Below are 19566 nucleotides of genomic sequence, written 5' to 3'. Positions count from 1 at the left end.
TCTTCCAGTCCTCTGGCCAAAGATAGCAGGGTTTTTTGTTTTTTATTTTTTGTTTTGTTTTGCTTTTGAATTTATGCCCTTGGCATTTCTGGGTTGCTGACTTCTTCATCTCTCTGTCTGGGATGTATGAGGCAAAAAGAAAAGCCAAGAAAATCGCCACTGTGTTGTTCACTGGGTTTCACGTTCCCTGGCTTGTCTTCCTTCTCCTTCCAACTTTTACTGTCTTCTCATGTTTGTTTCACACATAATGTCCAGGGCTTTTAACTGTACTTAGCAGTTAGAATAGGGAAAAGAACATCCACTCCATCTTTCTGGAAGTGGAAGTCTCTTATTGTTACTTTTTAAAAATTGTGGGTACATACAACACACACCGAATTATAAAAAAAAAAAAAGCATTTATCTACAAATGTCTTTTTTAAAAGGCTGGATGGGAATACACTAAAAAGTTAACAGTGACTTGGTTTTTATCTCCATTCTTTTTTGTAATTCCCAAAGTGCTTATTATTAACAGGTACTATTTATAATTAAAATAAAACAAAATTTTCTACTTTTTAAAATAAGCTGCTGCTCTTTGTGCTGTCACTCCAGCAAGACAGTGCATAGCAGGTTCCTCAGGGAGTCTTTTCCTTATGCAGGATGGACTGGGGCATCCAAAATGTTACTTTGAGGGTCCCATCCTTTGCACAGAGAGCTCATTCAAGTTTTCAAAGCAGAATTTTCTGGCCTAAGGGCCAAGGGCCTCTCCTCTCCTCTCCTCTCTTTCCTTCCTTCCTTCCTTCCTTCCTCTCCTCTCCTCTCCTCTCCTCTCCTCTCCTCTCCTCTCCTCTCCTCTCCTCTCCTCCCCTCCCCTCCCCTCCTCTCCTTCCTTCCTTCCTCTTTCTTTCTTTCCTTCTTTTTTTCTTTTTCTTCCTGTCTCACTCTGTTACCCAAGCTGGAGTCCAGTGGTGCAATCTTGGCTCACTGCAACCTCTACCTCCTGGGTTCAAGCCAATTCTCCTGCCTCAGCCTCCCGAGGAGCTGGGACTACAGGCACTCGCCACCACACCCAGATGATTTTTGTACTTTTAGTAAAGATGGGGTTACACCGTGTTGGCCAGGCTGATCTGTAACTCCTGACCTCAGGTGATCCACCTGCCTCGGCCTCCCAAAGTGTTGGGATTACAGGCGTGAGCCACCGCACCTGGTCTTCTTTAGGCCACTTAAACCGGGTCACCATGAGCATCTCATGAGTTGTTATAAACAAATAATCTGCAAAATTTCAGTGGCTAGAAACAGAAGTTTACTGCTCACTCACATAACAGTCCACTGACAGTCTGCTCATTGGGCAACATTCCTCCACGTAGTGACCAAGGGGTCCCAGTTTATTCCATCTGGGACTCTGATGTCCCCTGGGCATTGGGCTTTTGAGACCTCAGCTTCCAGCTAAGGGAAAGAGAAAGAGTGGGTGGAGAAGGCATGCCTTGTCTCAGAGCCCAACCCAGAGGGGACACATGGAACTTCCACTCACGCTCCGTGGAACTTCCACTCACGCTCCGTGGAGGGACCCGGGCACATTAGGATGCAAGGAGAGCATCTGTCCCACAAATACAACTAAAGAAACCCCTGTAGTGGCTGCTATAGCCATAATTAAATAATGAAATTTTAGCATTGATAGGAACCACATGACTCACTGAGGGGTGAAACCTTCCATTTTACAAATAAGAAAAGACACGCGGAGGGAGAACAGCTTTTCTAAGCCCCTCGGTGAGTTGCTGAGGTGGGTGCATCTCATTGCCCCACTTCCTTTCCTCTGGGGATCACTCCTCACCAGCCAGTCCAGGACAGATGCCGGCCTATCAAAGAAGCCCATCCTCCTGAGGCCGCCACACTTAGTTCCCGGATGGTCATGTGAGCCAATCACACCAAACTCTCCCTGGGACATTTATGGCAAGCAGGCATGCTGGATTGAAGGTATGTGAATGGAAGACTGTCAAGTGCTGGGAGTGGGAGGGAGTAAATACAAACAGGACACACAGGGCCTGTCCAGAGCTGCTCTCTATCCAGCAGGAGGGATGGATGAGGGATGAATTGCCATGAGCTCCTTCTTCCTGGCCACTGCCCTTCACCACCTCTGGAGATCAAGCCACATCTGGTGTGACTGGCCCCTCTGAAGGCCAGACTGGCTCTGAGGGTGCTGCGAGGGGTTTGCATGGTTCAGAAGAGTGTGGTTGGGGGACTTCTCAGAAGAGCTCAGGACTCAGGAGAACATGCCTCTCTTTCTCAGGGCTCCAGCACCAAGGGGTTTGGAGGCCCATGCAGCCTTCTCAGACTCTTCTGCCAGCTACTGGCTCAGCCACTCACCCTCCTATATCTATGCCCCTTGTCATGGACTTTAGCTTGGCCACCTGCCTTCTTGGGTCAATGGGATGTGAGTGGAGTCTTGAGTATACTTGCACGGTTGGTCTTATCCCCTGGACTATTGCCATTGCAGTGAGAGGCACCTACCCTGGGTAGCCAGCTGGTCTCAGAATATGTGAGACATGGAGCAGACCTCCACAGAGCCATGCCTGTCTGGACTCAACCAGCCCACCAAGATCAGCAGAGGCCAACTTGCATGGGCATGGGTGAGAGAGCATGGCTCTTGTTTAAGCCAGTGCATTTGAGGAAGGTCTTTTCACAGCATTACCATGACGACAACTGACTGACATAAGTGATGTCAAGATGACAACTGACTAATGTAAGTGATGCTCATCCACTGGCCGGCATCAAAGGTGGATGTATTCATTGTCTGTTTTTTCTGTAACAAATTACCACTCACTGCACAGCTTGAAGCAACACTCACTTACGCTCCCACAGTTCTGCAGATCGGAAGTGCAGCAAGTGTGGCTGGTGCCCTATTCAGGGTCTAGCAAGGCTGAAATCATGCTGTCAGCCTGGACGGTGTCTCATCTGGAGCTTGGGGTCCTTATGCAAGCTCATTCAAATTGCTGGCTAAATTCAGGTACTCGTGGTTGTAGGACCGAGGTCCTTGTCCACTGTCGGCTGGGACTGATCTTGGCTCCTAGAGGGTGCCTGAAGTCAGTCTCATGCTCTCCCTGTGGTCCGCTCCAGCCACGGCAGTCTGAGTGGCTGTCACACTTGGATCTCTCTGACTTCCTTTTCTCGTACACCTTGCTGACTCTTCTGTTCCCTTGCTGCTTTCAAGGGCTCGTGAAAGTACACTGGGCCCACCCAAATAATCCAGGATAATCTCCCTATTTTAAGGTCAGTTGATTATTAACTTTAATTCCAGCTATAAAGTCCCTTCCCAGCAGAACCTCTATTAGTGTTTGATCAAATAAGAGGGGACAGGAATCTTGGGGGCATCTTTTGAATTCTGTCCAACAGTGGTGCTGTCCCATCACCACTGGCTGAGCAATGGCCAAAACTACGTGGGCTTCTAGAGGTCAGCATCTGTGCCACCTCTCACCTGGAGCACTGGATCAGAGATGTGGCCCACAGGGCTGGAGAGAAGTCATTATGCATCTCTTCTGATCATTTCAAAATTAAATGCAAGGAATATATTATTGACATTTTATAAAAATGACTTCCTCCTGAGTAGTACAATTCATGGTACAAATATATACAATTTCAAGTTGAGGGAATACTCTTAATGGATATACAAAAACAGATTGAATGAATGCATCAGAAATATTTTTAACAGAACCACAGGGTTTCTGGTTGCTGTGCTCACATGGATCCTGTCTTCTATGGATAGGACTCCATGGCTGGTGAGTAAGTTCTGCAGCTTGGGCTTGCGAAGTTCCTGGGAGGGCAGCTGCCCCATTCTTTCTCAACTCTCTGTCACCTGATATGTGACCTCTCACCTCACAACCACATTTACATTGGCCTCAGAGCCGCAGGAGTCGGTGTTGGGGATCCAGGACAGCTGATGGGGGAGGTGACTACTGTTCTAGTAGAGTTCCTGTCTACCCTGACACCTTTCTCTGAAAAATCAACCTCCTCGCCAGAAGAACCGAAGTCGCTTTCGTTTGGTCATGGTGGTGACCTGTTCTCTCTCTTCATTCTTAGTGCCTCAGGGAGGAGGGCTGGGACACTAGCATCTCCACCTAGTCACTGCATAATTAATACTAGATAACCTGTTTGTTTCCTATCTTGAGAATCTCAGTGTCTTTACCAAGTAGATTCTGCAAAGTATTCTCAATCACAGAAGCAATATGAAGCTTCCTTCAGTGTGAGATATCTCTCTTGAATTATTTTTAGTTACAAACAACGCATATCAGTTGCACACAATTTTATTCTTAGAAAAAGGCATGTTTATGTCCTGTCCTGTCCACCATTATAGCACACACTTTTTGGATGGGCGGTCCCACCTTGGGGAACTTGGGGTTACGGTTGTGCTGTGCAGATTCCTCGGGCCCCTGTCCCATGCTGGGCTGTTCCGCCAGCTTTGATGTGTGCTTTTGCTTCCCAGGGTTAGCTCTGCACAGCTGGAACCACATTTCCACAGGCAGCTAGCACAGGAAGTGCCTGGGATGTCCTGTCTACCCGGGGCAGGCCTTTGGCCAGTGATTATGGTGTCAGGAAGTCCAGTCAAAATGGAAAGGGGCTTCCCTGGACTAAGGACCAAGGCTAGAGTTTCCAGAAGCCAAGGGAAGAGAGCCCAGCACTCATGCAGGCAGCAGGAAGCTGGTCACGGGGCCGGCAGGACCTGCCTGGACTAGTGTGGAATGTGCGAGTTAAGGTGGAAAAGAGAGTTTGGGGCCGAATGCTGGACTCGAGGAATGTGCATTTTCATCTACAGCTTTTGATCCTGTAAATATACAAATGTAGTTTCTAAGAAAACAGATGATGAGGAAAGAATGGTGGAAGGAATAAGACAGCAAAATGTTGAGAATGGTTGAAGGTGGAGGAGGGGTACATGGAGATTTGCGATCTATCAACTTTTGTGTGTGTTTGCAATTTTCCATAATACAAAGTTTTAAGAACTGAATTGCATATTTATCAGTTGCACACATCTTTACGGAGCCCCCACATTGTGCCTGGCTCTGTAACTGAGTAAACCAGATGAAGAGAGCAGGTGGGTCCTGACCTCCAGGTGTTCCATTCCTGCAGGGAAGATCCACGGTGGACACGTTTAACATCAGAACGAGAGGCACCATGCCGCCTGCAAGTAGAACAGATAATGACAGTTTCAGTATCTGTCCTCTGAAAGTACCCATGATTACGTTCTGACTTCTGGGGCAGGTGACTGCATTTCACCCTTGGCAAGTTTCTGTGCAGGGGTCCTCCAGGCCTCTGCCCCCTTGGATTGGTGTGCACTGTTGCTGGGCTCTGAGTCGCCACCTGGGCTCGTACTGAATATGCGAGCTGGTTAGTGGTGGCTACAAGACACCTTGCTTGCTATGAAAAAAAAGAGATAAAAGTAAATATTGAAACAGATTTGATTATTGATGTTTGTGAATGTACATTTCTAGGTACAGTGGCCAGTGACAAAGCATACATAGGTGGACAGCGACAGATGAAATGGACATCGATTTTTATATGCCTGAGAGAATTGAGCTTAACCTGTCAGATCTGTCTAAGCCTCTCCCAATGCAAACGTCACCAAAGCTGCTTCCTCTTCCTTTCACCTGTCTCACCTGTAAGGGGGATTTGTTCTTATGCCAAACAGTAAGCTCCATGAGGGCAGGGCCTTACTCAGGACTTGGGCTCCAAGGACCTGACTCAGCCTAAGTGAATATCCAATGGGGAAAGAAGGTGGGGAGGGGGATGTCTCCACTGCGTGGAAGGAGTAAGTGAGGGGCAGAGAAAGCCGTGATTTCTCGTTACATTCACAGCTACCTCTGTGCTGTTTCTTGTCTGTGAAGACAAGGCCTTGGGTCTCCTGTCAATAGGCCGAGGTTCCCTGCGATGCACCCATGTGACCAATGCCATTCCTCTCCAGACCCCTGAGATCAGGAGTCATTGTCTACCTGGCCAATGGCTCTCCATTCATTCCTCATTCCCGCAAAATTATGTCTTGAGGACCCACCTAGGGTAAGGCTTGGGCCACATTCTCTAGGAGCGGCTCCAGAAGAGAACTGAGTGGGCAACGCGGTGTGCCCAGGGGCCTGTTTAGAGGAAAGAGATCCTGAGACTGCAGCCTTGGAGAGAGGGGGCAAGGAGAGGAGCAGAAAGCAGGGTGGTGTGTGTGTTTGGTTGGTGGGGGGGGGCGGTGGTTGGGCTGGAGAAGGAAGGGAGTCACCAAGTCGTTATTAGAGGGATTGAACTGTTTTCTTGCCTCGTCCACAGCATTTTACCTCAACTGGTCAAACAGACTGAGCAAAGGCCACTTGTGAGTCTTTGTGTGTGGCACTGAATGGTGGCCCTCCCCAAACCCTTCCCTTTGCCTCTGAAGCCACAAGTGACAGAACCACATGACCAGAGCTCTGAAGTCCCACAATGGGGTTGGAGTCCCAGCTTCCTAGCAGTGTGACAAGAACATGCCCCTTAACTTTTCTGAGCTTGGGCCTGACACATAACATTCAATACATGTTAGTTGCTATTAAAAACATGGGTAATTTTATATCTTAAAATATTGCATATTGCTTAAATGGTTTCATGCTGGCTCACATTAAAAATGATTCCCAAGTGAAGATGACAAAGGGGAAATATTCGTTATTTAGTTCTTTTCTTACATTAAGTGATCATAATAAAGTACATTTCTGGGTTGCATTCTCTAGAGTGCCTTTTGCTAAATAAATGGCCAAAAATAACTTTCCCTTCCAGTAAGATTTCATGATTCGGCACACTCAACGTTCACTATAAAAGCTTAAAGTGAAGAGCACGAAACAAGCCTGGGAGCAAGAAACAGGCGAGAAAAAGCGATGGATACAGGAGGGTGAGGCCCACATTCCCACAAAAGTGCTTTCTGTTTCAGACAAATCTCGGCAATAAGAAAGTTGTCTTTATTCAGGTATCTACATCACACTTAGGTTTGGAAGAAGCAGATGGATAGGAATTAGTAGGATCTTCCAGGAGTCCCAGGTTCTCCCGGAAGAGGCAAATTAGAAAAAGCGCAGCAGCCCTGGGTAGGGGCCCAGGGCCCGGAGCCAGGGTCTGGGCTAATCAGCCCCTCCCAAGCCCAGGGCGGCCATCAGGTTGGGGATGCAGGTCACACCCCCGCCTGACCCCTTTTCTTTTCCAGAGCAGCAGCTCCAGATACTTATGAGAAAAGTTACACCTCTGGTCATTTGCTGGGTGACATCAAAAATGGGAGTGGAGTGGTCAGGCTTGCCTGGCCTCTGAAGGGCGGCCGAAGCCCTCCTTCACTGAGATTGCTCTAAACGCAAAGCTCATCTAGGAGCCATCCAGGCGTTTTTTTGTTTTTGTTTTTGTTTTTTCTTCCATAGCGTGGCTTTATTGGAGAACCCCGGGCTTTCTCTGTTTTCGTGGGCGATCTCTTGCCTCTTCCCATTTCATTTTAGCCGTCACGGGGCCCAGTAGAGTACTTTGCATTAAGTTATCCGTATCCAGGAAGATGTCCTCTCATCCACTTTACCAAAAAGGACCGGGAGAACCCCAGCCATCTCCTGCCCACGGGAGTGTGCGCTCATCCACACAGACGGCTTCAAGCCGCCCAGGGCCTGGGACCCGTTTCCAGATGCCCTGCGAAGTGGTGTCCACAGCAGCGGTGCCCCACTCCAGGCCTGGCGCACTCTTTTGGCCAAGGAGGCGCACGAATACCCTCGGGCCCCCGACGAAAGAGAGGGGCTCAGGTCCTTGCAAGGGGGCCTCCCCGCGGAGGAGCCCCGCGCGTGGCCCAGGAGGCCTCTCCTCCAGGTGGCTAGCGCTGGGCGCAGCTGCGGCCCCGGGGCACGGTGGCAGGCGGGCCGCTGGGCCGCCTACGGGCACCTCCACGCGCCCCCGCTCGGCCCTAGCCCGCCGCCCGCGGTGGAAGGCAGTGTGGCGCGTGCGCACTGGCGTGCTCGCGGCCGGGCCCGTGGGCTCTCCCGGGAGGGCGGGAGGTGGGAACGTGGGAAGGCGCGGGGCCGCCCACCTCCCGGCCCGCAGCCGGCGCCGCCGACACCTCGCGGCCGGGGCGCCCGCGATGTCCGTCGAGTGAGCGGCACAGGTAAGCGCGCTCTCGATCCCGTCGGGGGCTCCCCGCCCCAGCCCGCGGCCCCCAGGCGGCCGCGGCGCCAGCAAAGTTGAACTTCGCGCGTGGCGGGCCGGACACTGAACGCTGGGGGCCGGGTTGCCGGGGCCCCGGAGCCGGGTGCGCTCCTCTCGCCTACGGGAGCGCGGGCGGGGCTGCGGCGGAGGCGCGGGGTGGGACTGTGGAGGCAGGAGCCCCTGACCATGAGCTGCGCCCAGGCCTGGCCTCGCAGTGAACTTTTGCGCCGCGCCCTGGCAGCGTCTTGGTTCCTGGCGAGCACTGCCTGGGAGGCCTCCGTTGGCCTCTGCTCGCGGCCTTCCCGGCGGGCCTGCGGGGAGGCGATCGCGTGCCAGGGATTCTCGGCGCGGGGGAGGCGCGTACCGGCACGGGCGAAGATCCGGGGTTCCGAGGATTTAGCTGAAGGACCCCGCGTTTTTCACTCTCCGTCTTCCCCCAGTACAAACGCCAGACCCTTGGAGAGAGGGATGGGGAAGGTCGAAGCGCCTAGATGCCTGGACGACAACGCAGGAAGCAATTAAAACTCCTCCTTTCGGATTAACAACCAAAAATTGATCCATGTGTCAGGAATACCATTGATTTATGAAAGGTGCTTATTTCTCTGGTATGGAGAATTTTATGTTCTCCAGGTGAAACCGAGTTCACCCAGCTCCAGCGTAGATTGATGTTTTAATAAAAATAAATAAAGGGGAAAAGCTCGCCTGGTCTTTGGGGACATCAAGTCTCAAATCGCAGAGTTAGACTAACAAATCAAATTGCATTATCTTTACATTTCATATCTTTTAATCTTGTACCTAAAAATCGCAGGCAGGAGAGCGCCTTCATTTCGAAAGTTTTAATATAGTGCTTAAAAGTCCGCATAACTAGCAATCAGTGTTTCATAAGCAAAATGGCACGGGAGCGTCGGGTAATTGTGATAAGTGGCAGGCGGCGCGGGGCGAGGGCGGCGGCGGCGGGAGGAGGAGCGGGCTCTGGACGCTGAGAGGGAGGAGGCGGCGGCCGCCCGGAGCCGCGCGGCGCCCGTAGATGGCGCCCTGGCCCCACGCTAGGCCCGGGATCCGCGGCTCCGTCGGGCGGCGCGCGGGCGGGAGAGCCGGCGGGGGCGCGGCGCTCGGGGCTCCACGCTTGCGGTAGACTTGGACCGGGGCGGCGCGGCTAAGGAGGAAAAAAAAATTAAGCTTATTGTTGCCATTTTTAATTTAAGGCCTGGGCAGTCGTTTGGGGCGGATGGGGGTCCGCGAGTCCAAGGCGTCACTGGGAGCGGAGGGATTCCCGCCCCCCCCACAAAAGGCTGCAGCTCAGCCCGGGTGGCGCTAGCGCAGCGCCAGTCCCGGCCTCCGGGTGCGCAGCCCAGGCGGGGCCCTGGCGTGCAGATGCGCGCGTGTGCGGGCGAGGGTCGGCGGCACGGCGGCAAGGACACCGAGTTCAAAGCCGCCGGTGGATCGCCCCCGAGGGCGGCCCGGATGGCCGGAGGACCCCCCCCGCCCCCGCGCCGACGCACCCCCGGAGCCCGCGCCAGGCCCGCCGCCACGGCTGCCGGCGCCCTCCGCTTTGCAATGTAAATTTCAGCGGGACAAATTGCTTATTAATAGTCTAGAAGAGAAGCCGGTTTCTTTCTTTCTTCTTTTCTTTATCTGTTTTTATTTCTACATGGCCCCTAGCTATGCCCTGGGCCGCCTTGCCGCCCAGCAGTTTTCTCTTCATTTCAATGTCCTAAAGAAAATGCAAATTTCCACAGTGTGGCCTTTTTAAAAAGTTAAATTAGCAACAGCTTTAAGTGACTCCATTAGTATGGAAAACACACATGTTTAATGTGGGAATAGCTTCCTTTTAACGGGACTCATTCTGGTCTGTACATTCAGCAAACCCTTAGAGTTGGTAAAGAATCTCTTCGCGGCCGAATTTGTAGCCAGAGGTGCACCCTCCCCCTTCCAGCCCCGGCGTGCACCCGCCTTCCTGGGGGGAGAGGAGGGGTGCGTCCCGCCGCCGCGCGCTGCTGGACCCAGTCCGCTGGCTTGGATCCCTTAGAAGTCGCGCGAATGTGCGCGAAAGGGTTTATGCAGGCTGGAAGGGAGGAGAGCTTGACACATTTCTGTCCAAGAGCGGTATGCTCTTCCTTCCCTCCCGGCCTCATCGTCGCAGTCGCCGGAGCTGAGTTAATTACCCGGACGGACTCCCCGGCCCGGCCGCCGGCACCCATCGCCCCACTTTTGCGCACCAGAACGGGTGTATACACTCTGTTAAGGTGCTGTGAAGGAGTGAGATCGGGTAGCCGAGGAGGAGGACATTAGTACATCGGTGACCGTGGCCACCCTTTCCGTCCGTGCCCACTGTAGCTCTCCACCACCCCAACTTCCTTTACTCGTGTTGGCAAACCGCGGTTTCAAACTAGAATTTTATTGGCAAACTTTTGTGCGCGGTTAGCTTCCAGAAGAGGGTATTTAATTTTGTTATGAGGTCTGGCCGCCCCCTCCTTTCCCTTCAAGCCAGTGGCATCGCACTCCACACCCGTCCATGAAAGAGTTAAGATTTATGGTATGCTGGAGAGGTCTTGTTAGGATGTAATCTGCATTTTTAAACTACTGCGTAATAAAAAGTGAGAAGTTTTGAGACACCTTTCTTGATTATACCTTTGGCAATACTTTAGGTTTTACATTTAATTTGCATTTTGTTCTTGGTGAATATTGAAGTCTTGAGTGGAGGATTGAATTTTATTAGGACATCTGGACTGACAATATCAAATCAGACACCAGTGTCCCAAAGCATGCTAAAATTTCAGAGTTAATTAGAACGCAGTGTGTTTAATTAAAGCCAATTATAATATTTGAAATTATCTGATCGATCCGTGTTTGTACAGTTTGGGTCTGTTTAGGTGTTGATTGGCGCACTTTGCGCGTGGTTCGATCTCGGAACTTCTCTGGGGAAAGTTTGCTTTGTAAACTGGCGGGGGCGGGCCGGCGCGGAATCGGCGTCTCCCGCGCCCGCTCGGGCGCATCCAGCAGGACTGATTTTCCGGGCGCCGCCGAACGCAGCTCGAGAAATCCCAGCTCGTTGCTAAACCGATGGGCCTTTTAGGGTCCGAGGGACGTCGCCACGCACCAGCTGTCTTTTCCAGCTCGGCTGCTCCTCCGGAGTATCTTTACAGACAGGCAACCTTTCGGGTTGCCGGGTGCGTTGGGAGAAGCCCAAGTTCGCCAGTGTTTGATTTGGGGGTTTCGCTCAAGTAGAAGAGCCCCCAGAGCTGACTCGTGGGGTCGGCCAAAGTGACCGAAGGAATCCGAGAAAAGTTAGGAAAAGGAAACAATAATTAACTGTTTCCCTTATAATTTAGCACGCTGCAGGAGCCGAGGCACACCCCGGCGTTTTCGCCCCGCTTGGAGCGCCCATGGTTTTCCAGGGAGAAGGTTGAGCGAGTTCCAGGTCAGGTCCGTCGCCCCGCTGCGGGGCCGGGCACTTAGAGCGCAGGTTTCTCTCCAGCAAGGACGTTCGCATGGCGCTTGGTACCTAGGCCTTCTGCCCAGTGCCGGGCTTGGTCCGACCCTTGCTCACGCAGGTGGGCGGCAATTAGGACTAGGCGGCGTGTGGCGGTTTCCGCGCGCCCCTGGGGTCACGGCGTCAGCTAGGACTAGGTGCTCCGGTCGCGCAGGAGCCGGGGCCCAGCTGCTGGGGCCGGCAGGACCCGGGGCGGACACCTGCCCCGGGGTGGGTGGGAGCCCAGGCTGTTCTGCTCCCGGCTCCCGGCTGCGCAGCGGCACTCCACTCTCCCCACCCCAGGAGGCGCTGTTTGTCAAACTTGGCCGCCTTGGCAGGAGGCGCCTGCACGTTCTCACTTGGAAGCTGAGCCTTCCCTGGTACTGGGGGTCGGGCTTCAGCAATCTTAGCCGTACAGAATAAATATTAGAGGGAGGAGGCAATGCAGAGAACAGGGGTCTGGGACCCTTCAGTTTTTGCTTTTTACCCGTGAACCCAACAGGGCATCCTTCCTCCAGCGCAGGGAGGAGGCGCCCGTTGGTTTGCCCCATGTGCCAGGGGGAGTTGCCCAGTAACTTGCCTCAGAGGGCAGGCGGGGTGCGCGGCCTGTCTTGGGCTCTGCCGCCAGATGCCGCCTGAGGCCCCCGCGGCTAGCATCTCCGCGCCGAGAGGGCGAAGGCGCCCTCTCTGGTCCTGAGTAACCCACCCAAACCTGGCCGGGCTCCCTTTGTGCGCGACTGAGGTTGGGATGGCCCTTACTTCTCGGTTTTCCCCGGCCCACGGACGAGCGTGACCCCGTGGCGCAAGACGAACTTGGAGCGCTCTCAGAGGCCGCGTCACCACCCGTGGTGGGCAGGCTTTGCCAGTGCGTGCTGTTTCCACCCTATCCCGCAGTTCCCGGGATTTTCTAGGTGCGTCTCTCCTGGCCCCTCTGACCTCCTTCCCACTGGGGCCCAGGGTCAGTTTGGCTCTCTCTTTTCCTGTTCTTTCCCCGGCCCCTGCCTGTGCTTGGCGCCCGATTCTGACCCCAGGCTTGAGCAGGGCTAGAGGCCCGGAGGCCGGCACGGTCTGAGCGTGACCCCCGGGCGCGGAGGACGTTGGGGCGGGCCGCGCCTGCAGCTCAGCACTGGCGGCGGGCACACGAACTGGCGGCTTTTCGTGCATTGGCTTTCACCCTTTCCCGAAGGCTCCAAGTGACATGGCCAGGCAGCTTGGGCCTGTGGCCATGGGCCCTCCGATGGTGCGGCGTCGGGTCGAGCCCGCGCACCCCCTGATACTCCAGGGGACTTGGCCTCCAGGAACTCTCGGCCCAGGCTTCTCAACGCCGGAAATGCAGTTTATTACTCTTTGGAAGGATGTTAGGGAGGTAGGCGGGTGCCCTGGGCTAAGCCTCGATCAAGAAGGGGGCATTCGCCCGGTGCCCTGGGCGCTGGGCCCTGGGCCCGTGCAGACACCGCGGCAGGCCTCGCGCCCTGGGATTCCAACTTGGCCGAAGTTTCTGGGTGGGGGTGGCTTGGAGTCCGGTACCAGCCCAGGTCCCCGTCTCTGGGCCTTGCACCAGGCACCAGTGGAGGATCTGAGACTGAGGAGGGGTAAGGGGAAAGTTTCCTCTCTACGCGCGCCGAACAGCCCCCTTCACGGGTGGGTAGTGGGTACCGGCGGAGGACGCTGGCACGCGCGGTGGCTCGGGCACTGAGTGGCTGGGCAAGGAGGCCAGGGTGAGCCTAGGTGCGGCTCCTGGGAGGTTAGAGCCCCCGCTAGACTTCAGCCAGGTTTTTTGATGGTGCCACGGATCAGTGGCCCAAGCGCCGCCAGGGCCTTCTGCCCTGCGCCCGGCACGCCGCTCCCAGAGCCGGGCGCCAGGGGCGGCGGGCGCTGTCTCTTTAAGGTCACTGCCTGCTCCGGCACGACATGGGGAGGACAGCTGGGCACTGGCCATCTGACTGACTCCGGCTTGACATCTGGGAGCCCACTGGTGTGTGGCACGCGAAGCGCTTGATGCCGCTATTTAAATGCAAATGTGAGGGGGCTCATTGAAGCCTCTCCCCGTAAATCCGCACAAAAGGAATACTTCCCACCCTCCGAGGAGGAGGCGGCGGCGGCAGCTCGAGGGCCACCCGTGCAAATCGCGTTGGGCGCGGGGCCCTGAGCGGTCGCCGCAGCCGTCGCGGCCCGCGGGGTCCCCGGCAAAGGTCAGGCTCCGCCCAGTCCGGCCCCCGGACGCCGGTCTGGCCCCTGGGAGCGCTCTGTGCACCGAGGTTAGACCTGCGGCCGCCGTGGGCCTGCAAAACTTCCAAAGTAGCAGCCTGTTTCTCCTCGTCTCCCTTCTCCTGGGTACCCAGCGCCCCGCCTTCCCCAGAAAGGGCGAGGGGTGGGGGCAGGGCTCCCTCGGGAGGTGGCCAAGCGCCGGGACGCGCTCCCAGCGTTACTCAGGACACTTGGGATTTGGCCTGCAGCCCCCTTCCCCATCCCTGGCCTGGCTGCGGTGTCCCTTGCTCCCCTCTGCTGCTGCTCCTGCCCCATCAAGTCGAAAATCTGAGGGTGGGATGGGGTGGGGGACCAGGGGGTACCCTCCCAGGCCGCTCCGCAGCAGGCCGAGGTGGAGACCCTGCCCGGTAGGCGAGTCCTTGTGCCCACAGCTCGGAGCCAGCAGCGGAGTGACAAAAAAGATAAAGTTGGTGAATGATAAAGACCGTATTTTCCACGCTTTGGGTGCGGGACCAGATGATCTAGAAAATGAGCTGAAATGGATTCAGCCTCCGAGCCTGTTGTGAGAGCAGCTGATTCCCCCATTTCGGGCCAGATGGCTGCTGAACACAGATTTGCATTCATTTTCGCTTAATATCGTCCAAAATAGTGGGGCAGCTGCATTTGTTGTCAAAAAGGTTTAAAACCCCTTTTCTTTCTGGGGCAGGATCGTTACCTTATGTGATGGGCTTATAGAACTTTTTTTTCCTCTTTAGTCAACAGTATCAGATTTAGAAGGATTTGTTTTTAAACCTTCTAATTTGGTAATCAGATTTAAATCGCCTTGGCGCGTGTAATCTGAATTAAAGATACTGTAAATGATTTTAAGCATGATACTTTCGTTAGCGCAAGGAAGGGGCACCTCTAGCACAGGCTGGACATTTTAGGAAGTGTGCTATAAAGGAAGCATTGTTTCCTATTTCCAACTTCATCTTTCCCGAAAAGGCACTTTGCATATTCTGACAATAACGCTTGCCTGGCCGCTTGCCCTGCGTGAGCCCCCGAAGCAGCTAAACACGCAGAGACAAAGCGTTTCTCAACCCCACCCTCCCTCGATGGCCAACTTTATTTTGCGTTGTTTCTCCACGAAGAAAGTGTTCCCTCCTACACCAGTGTCTGCCGAGAGTGGAAAGCGCTGGGCTTATTAGGAATACAGAAATTTTCTTTTAATTTATCATGAACAGTTTCCATACACTTTGATTTAAGGTTATTAACATTCTATAGACAGTGGCATCTTTAATATGTGGCTATCGCTTCTAAAGACTAATCTCATTACCCTCAAATAGTCATAAAATATGATTTTATTATACTTACGTATTTAATTAGACGGCCGGCACCGTAATGGATTTTGAGATGGGACTGGCGCAACAGCTTTGATAATTCACTTATCTTTGGCAATAGTCATTAACCCCCAACACCAGCAAAATAGATCTCTTTCCAACACATCTTTTTTCTCACTCCTTCCAAGAGGCGTGGGGGTCCCCAGACAACGTGAATCGGACTTCGACTTTCCCGATTAATTAAAATATTAACGTACACACGCTGCCAATTCACGGGAAAAGGGAGTGCTGCCCCAGACCCGGCGGGAGGAGGCTGCCCTGCAACACACTTGCGCCCTGCAATCTTTTTTTTTTTTTTCTTTTAATCAAAAGGGCCTGATTTCTCTTGGCAGGGAAGTGCCTAGGACAGTTCCTGGTCGTCCCCTGGGTCTCTGCTCCGTGTCGCGCAGACGTCCTTTGGGCGGGCCGCGCTCCTGGGCGCGGAGTCCCGGCTACAGGAGCTGGGCCGCGGGGCCCACAGTCTGCCCGCGCCCGGCTGCCCTCCCGATTCCTAGAAACCAGGTCGGGAAGCCGCGCGCCGCGCGCTCACCCGGGTCCGGCGGCTCCGAGGGCCGGGCCACAGCGCCCGCGGCGTCCGCTTGGTTTTTGGAGCAGTTGGCTCCAGGGCGGTCTGGCCACCGCGCAGGTCGCGCAGCCAGACACCCGGCTCCGGGTCGCCGGAGAGGCCGGGCGCGCTTCCCGTCGGCCCGGAGAGACCGGAGCCTTCTTTGTCACTCGCTGTGCGTAAGAACAGGCCAGGGGCCGGGGTCTGCCGCGGCCACCGGGGGAGAGGGAGCATCTGGCAGACCCTGCCTCCGACGTGATTCCCTGCCCGGCACTCGGCGGCCTCCGCCGGGGTAGGAAGCTTGGGGTACCTGGCGGGGCTCAGACCGGGACCGGCCGGCCCTGCAGCAGCCTTAGGTCTGCTTAGAAATCAGGCTGAGCTGCGCGTCCAGCCTTGGCCGGGGAGCCCTGGGCACCCCTCCTCCCAGTCCGTTGCCCGCTCCTCCCTCCGGCGCCCTCCCTGCGGTCGACCTGCCTCTTCCCACTTCTCCTTCGGGCGGCCCCAGGACAAGCTGCAGCCCCTTGCATTTATTGCATGCATCTGGGCAACTTGGGGCGCCTCAGCATTTTACAGCCCCCCGCCCCGCCCATCGTGTTCGACTGTGTGGCAGGTTTTGCAGGGAGGTATTAAGGGGCCAAACTGCAATTGTGCAGTGGCTGCGTTTGTTTCTTTTCAAGATTTATTTGGGCGAGTAGTAACTTCCTTGGCCGCGGCTGGACGCGAGGAGCCGCGGTGCGTGGCGGGGGGCGGCGGCGGCGCTCGGTGGCGCTCGGCGGCGGCGGGGCTCGCGGGGCTCGCGGGGCTCGGGCCGGCTCGCGGCGCCGTCAGGCAGTCAGTCGGCGAGCGCGGCGGCGGCGGCGGCGAGGGGCGCGGCGAGGGGCGGCCGCTCCCATATATGGCGCAGGCACCGCCCCCCGACGTCACCCTCTGACAGCGCCGCTCCCGGGGGCTTCGAGTTTTGGCTCCCGGGAAAGGGTCCATTCCTCGGGGAGAGAGGGCTGAGTTTTGTGCGCCTCCGTCCGCTGCGCGCGCCGCTCCAGGCCCCGCCGCGCCCCGCCTGCGCCCGGGACTGCGCCGCAGCACTCACTGCCCCGTTTATTTGTCTTTGGAGCAGGCGGGCCGCGCCAGAAGCGGGCGATCCCGCAGTGTCCTGCAGCCGCGGACGCCGCCTGGCTAGGATGACACCACGTTGAGCGCGCCTGCAAACAACAACAACAACAAGCGCCGCCGCGGCCACCGCGTCCTGCTCCTTCGAAGCGCCGCCGCCGCCGGTGGAGCCGCCTCCGCGCCCCTGGCCGTCCGGAGCGCCCGGCCGCTGGTGTATGTCGCGCCTGCCCGGGACGGGCTGAAGCCGGCGGCGGGGCCGGACCGCAGGCGCCGAGCAGGGCGAGGGCGGCCAGGGCAGCCGCCTGCCGCCAAGCCCCGAGCGCCGCTGCTCGAGGAAACGCTTTCGGCCGGGAGCTGCGGCCGCCGCCAGCAGTTTTCATGTTTGGGATTCAGGAGAATATTCCGCGCGGGGGGACGACCATGAAGGAGGAGCCGCTGGGCAGCGGCATGAACCCGGTGCGCTCGTGGATGCACACGGCGGGCGTGGTGGACGCCAACACGGCCGCCCAGAGGTACGTACCGGCCGCCCCCGCGCGCCCTGGCCCCGGCCCCGGCCCGGCCCGGCCCCCTCCGCCGGCCGGCGCCGCGCTCCTCACCGGGCCGCTGTCTCTTTCCTCCCGCAGCGGCGTGGGGCTGGCGCGGGCGCACTTCGAGAAGCAGCCGCCTTCCAACCTCCGGAAATCCAATTTCTTCCACTTCGTGCTGGCGCTCTACGATAGGCAGGGGCAGCCGGTGGAGATTGAAAGGACCGCTTTTGTGGACTTTGTGGAGAAAGAGAAAGTAAGTGCAAACACACGATCACACCCTCTCTCTTTCTAGAAGCGGGAGGCAGGCGGTGCCGGTGCGCGGGGGTTCGAGTGCCCCCCTAGGCGGCGGGCTCGGCTCCGCCAGGCCACCCCGCCGCCGCCACGTGCGGCCGCCCGGGACCGCCGAGGGCTGGGCAACTTCTCTGCGCCCTCGGACTTACTCGGGGCGAGGAGAACGCTGGGCTTCCAGCAGGAAAGTGACATCACCGCGCTGCTTCGAGCTAGGAATCCTGCCATGTGTGAGGCCGAGAGCCTCGGTCGCGGAGGGGGACCGAGCGTGGTGGCCGCGCCTGACACCGATCGCACTAAATGCAATTATTTATCGTTACTTTCAGGAGCCAAACAACGAGAAAACCAACAACGGCATCCACTATAAACTCCAGTTATTGTACAGCAACGGTAAGTGCCTGCTGCGTGCTCGCCGCCCCTGCAGCGGCTGGCTCTCCTTTTCTGCGCTGGTGAAAGGACATAAAGATTTGAGATTAAAATGACATGGATGTAAACACGAAATCTTCTCATGGCATAGAAGGAAAACAAAACATAAACGATCAATAAGTCGATGGCACTTCACATGATTAACCGGTGGGGCTTGAAGTAGAAAGTAAGAAAAAGATCGATACGGGCTCCAGCAGAACATCACTTTTAAGTGACTTTTTTCAATTTTGCAAATTAATGTTAATTATTAGGATGGGGGTAACTCCATAAACGGAGCATAACTTACTTCCTGTGAACGAGTTTTTTTTTTTTAAATCCTCGAGAGACATTAGAAAGAGTTCAGCCTCTCACTCAGTTTCCATTTGGTGCTTTTTCTTTTCTAAAAATAAACGACCACATGGGCCCACCGCACACAGCTACCAGGCCTGCTCTCCACCAGGCAAGTTCCTTGCACCTTGAAATGCAAGCCCTAAGAGCCTTAAGGTTCTTAGTTAAGAAAAGAAAAAAAAAATTAAGCGAGAAGTGGTGGGGTTCTCTTTCTCCCTTTCAAAGGGATTGCCTAAGTTCTGCTGCATCACCGTGGCAGCAGTCCTGAGTTACAGACTTCCTGTGCTCCGTGTGCCCTCCCCGAGGTGCAGCACTCAAATCCTGATGAGAATTTGTCTCTGTTTTTTTGCAGGAGTCAGAACAGAGCAAGATCTGTATGTTCGCCTCATAGATTCAATGACCAAACAGGTGAGAAAGTTTATGCCTCTGCACGAGTTTTCACTGCTGGGCCTGGGTTGTCCTGGGCTTCAGAGGCAAGGGCACTGACAAATGGATCTCGTGTATTTGTTTTCCATTGAGTTTCCTTGACATGCTAATGAGAATTCCATATTTATTGGAATGAATGAAGCGATTGGTAAAATAGTTTATGTTGTCATTAGAACAGGACATATATGCTTTATTAAATGTCTTGTGATTGGAATCATATTCTGTCTTAATTAATTATGGTAATTAATATTTGACAAAAATTTCAAGATGTCCCCCCTCTTGTTTATTTTTAAATGCTTCTCTCTCTGCTAGGAATCAGTTCATTTGGATTTTTTTTCCTATAACAAAGGCAGCTAACTCCTAAGCCCATCGAGTTGGACTTGATTAGTTCATTTTTTTTCTCCTTTCCAGTGTGATGGTCTAGTAACACGAGACGTTTATTTGGATTTAAAAGTTAAATGTGTTGGGGTGAAAAGTCACCTTGTTCTCCTCTAGTCCATCTTCACCTCGCAGCCCCCCAGCTCCATAATTCAAACTCCAAGCTCCAGGGGTCACTCCAACCCGTCCACTGCTCTGCCCCCTCTCCCACCCTCTGTCATACCTTGTAAATAACATAATTACAAGCAGTTCCTTATTAAATTATTTAACCTGTCTTGGTCAACTTTTCCGATGATAACTATTGGCTATCAGTAATGTGATTAAGTGGAGAAAAGTGCGTCACTGCTT

The 19566-nt window shown here is 54.9% G+C and overlaps 1 protein-coding gene across 15 annotated transcripts in view, besides 6 other annotated features; it reads left to right on the top strand.

The window, feature by feature from the left end:
* Positions 7211-8094: an enhancer, noted in NCBI's record as "H3K27ac-H3K4me1 hESC enhancer chr10:131771163-131772046 (GRCh37/hg19 assembly coordinates)". NCBI's record gives its function as "activates a minimal SCP1, AML or CMV promoter by ChIP-STARR-seq in naive H9 embryonic stem cells {active_cell/tissue: H9 hESC(naive)}" and the evidence as "EXISTENCE:reporter gene assay evidence [ECO:0000049][PMID:30033119]".
* Positions 8095-8980: an enhancer, noted in NCBI's record as "H3K27ac-H3K4me1 hESC enhancer chr10:131770277-131771162 (GRCh37/hg19 assembly coordinates)". NCBI's record gives its function as "activates a minimal SCP1, AML or CMV promoter by ChIP-STARR-seq in naive H9 embryonic stem cells {active_cell/tissue: H9 hESC(naive)}" and the evidence as "EXISTENCE:reporter gene assay evidence [ECO:0000049][PMID:30033119]".
* Positions 9621-10240: an enhancer, noted in NCBI's record as "NANOG-H3K4me1 hESC enhancer chr10:131769017-131769636 (GRCh37/hg19 assembly coordinates)". NCBI's record gives its function as "activates a minimal SCP1, AML or CMV promoter by ChIP-STARR-seq in naive H9 embryonic stem cells {active_cell/tissue: H9 hESC(naive)}" and the evidence as "EXISTENCE:reporter gene assay evidence [ECO:0000049][PMID:30033119]".
* Positions 12103-12722: an enhancer, noted in NCBI's record as "H3K27ac-H3K4me1 hESC enhancer chr10:131766535-131767154 (GRCh37/hg19 assembly coordinates)". NCBI's record gives its function as "activates a minimal SCP1, AML or CMV promoter by ChIP-STARR-seq in primed H9 embryonic stem cells {active_cell/tissue: H9 hESC(primed)}" and the evidence as "EXISTENCE:reporter gene assay evidence [ECO:0000049][PMID:30033119]".
* Positions 13965-14585: an enhancer, noted in NCBI's record as "H3K4me1 hESC enhancer chr10:131764672-131765292 (GRCh37/hg19 assembly coordinates)". NCBI's record gives its function as "activates a minimal SCP1, AML or CMV promoter by ChIP-STARR-seq in naive H9 embryonic stem cells {active_cell/tissue: H9 hESC(naive)}" and the evidence as "EXISTENCE:reporter gene assay evidence [ECO:0000049][PMID:30033119]".
* Positions 15621-16592: an enhancer, noted in NCBI's record as "H3K27ac-H3K4me1 hESC enhancer chr10:131762665-131763636 (GRCh37/hg19 assembly coordinates)". NCBI's record gives its function as "activates a minimal SCP1, AML or CMV promoter by ChIP-STARR-seq in primed H9 embryonic stem cells {active_cell/tissue: H9 hESC(primed)}" and the evidence as "EXISTENCE:reporter gene assay evidence [ECO:0000049][PMID:30033119]".
* The window catches only part of EBF3 (EBF transcription factor 3), a 129042-nt gene continuing 126194 nt past the window's right edge, over positions 16719-19566 (top strand). For all 15 annotated transcript variants that reach the window (XM_011539574.2, XM_047424961.1, NM_001375392.1 and 12 more), the window contains exons 1-4: positions 16719-17358; positions 17470-17626; positions 17988-18051; positions 18767-18822. In XM_011539574.2, the coding sequence (XP_011537876.1) occupies positions 17225-17358; positions 17470-17626; positions 17988-18051; positions 18767-18822 (411 nt within the window). In that variant the 5' untranslated portion in view covers positions 16719-17224. The remainder of the gene's footprint in view (positions 17359-17469; positions 17627-17987; positions 18052-18766; positions 18823-19566) is intronic.

This window comes from Homo sapiens, chromosome 10, assembly GCF_000001405.40.
Source record: "Homo sapiens chromosome 10, GRCh38.p14 Primary Assembly".
Lineage (NCBI taxonomy): Eukaryota > Metazoa > Chordata > Mammalia > Primates > Hominidae > Homo > Homo sapiens.
Note: the sequence above shows the minus strand (reverse complement) of the source record. Positions and strands in the feature narration are given on the sequence as shown.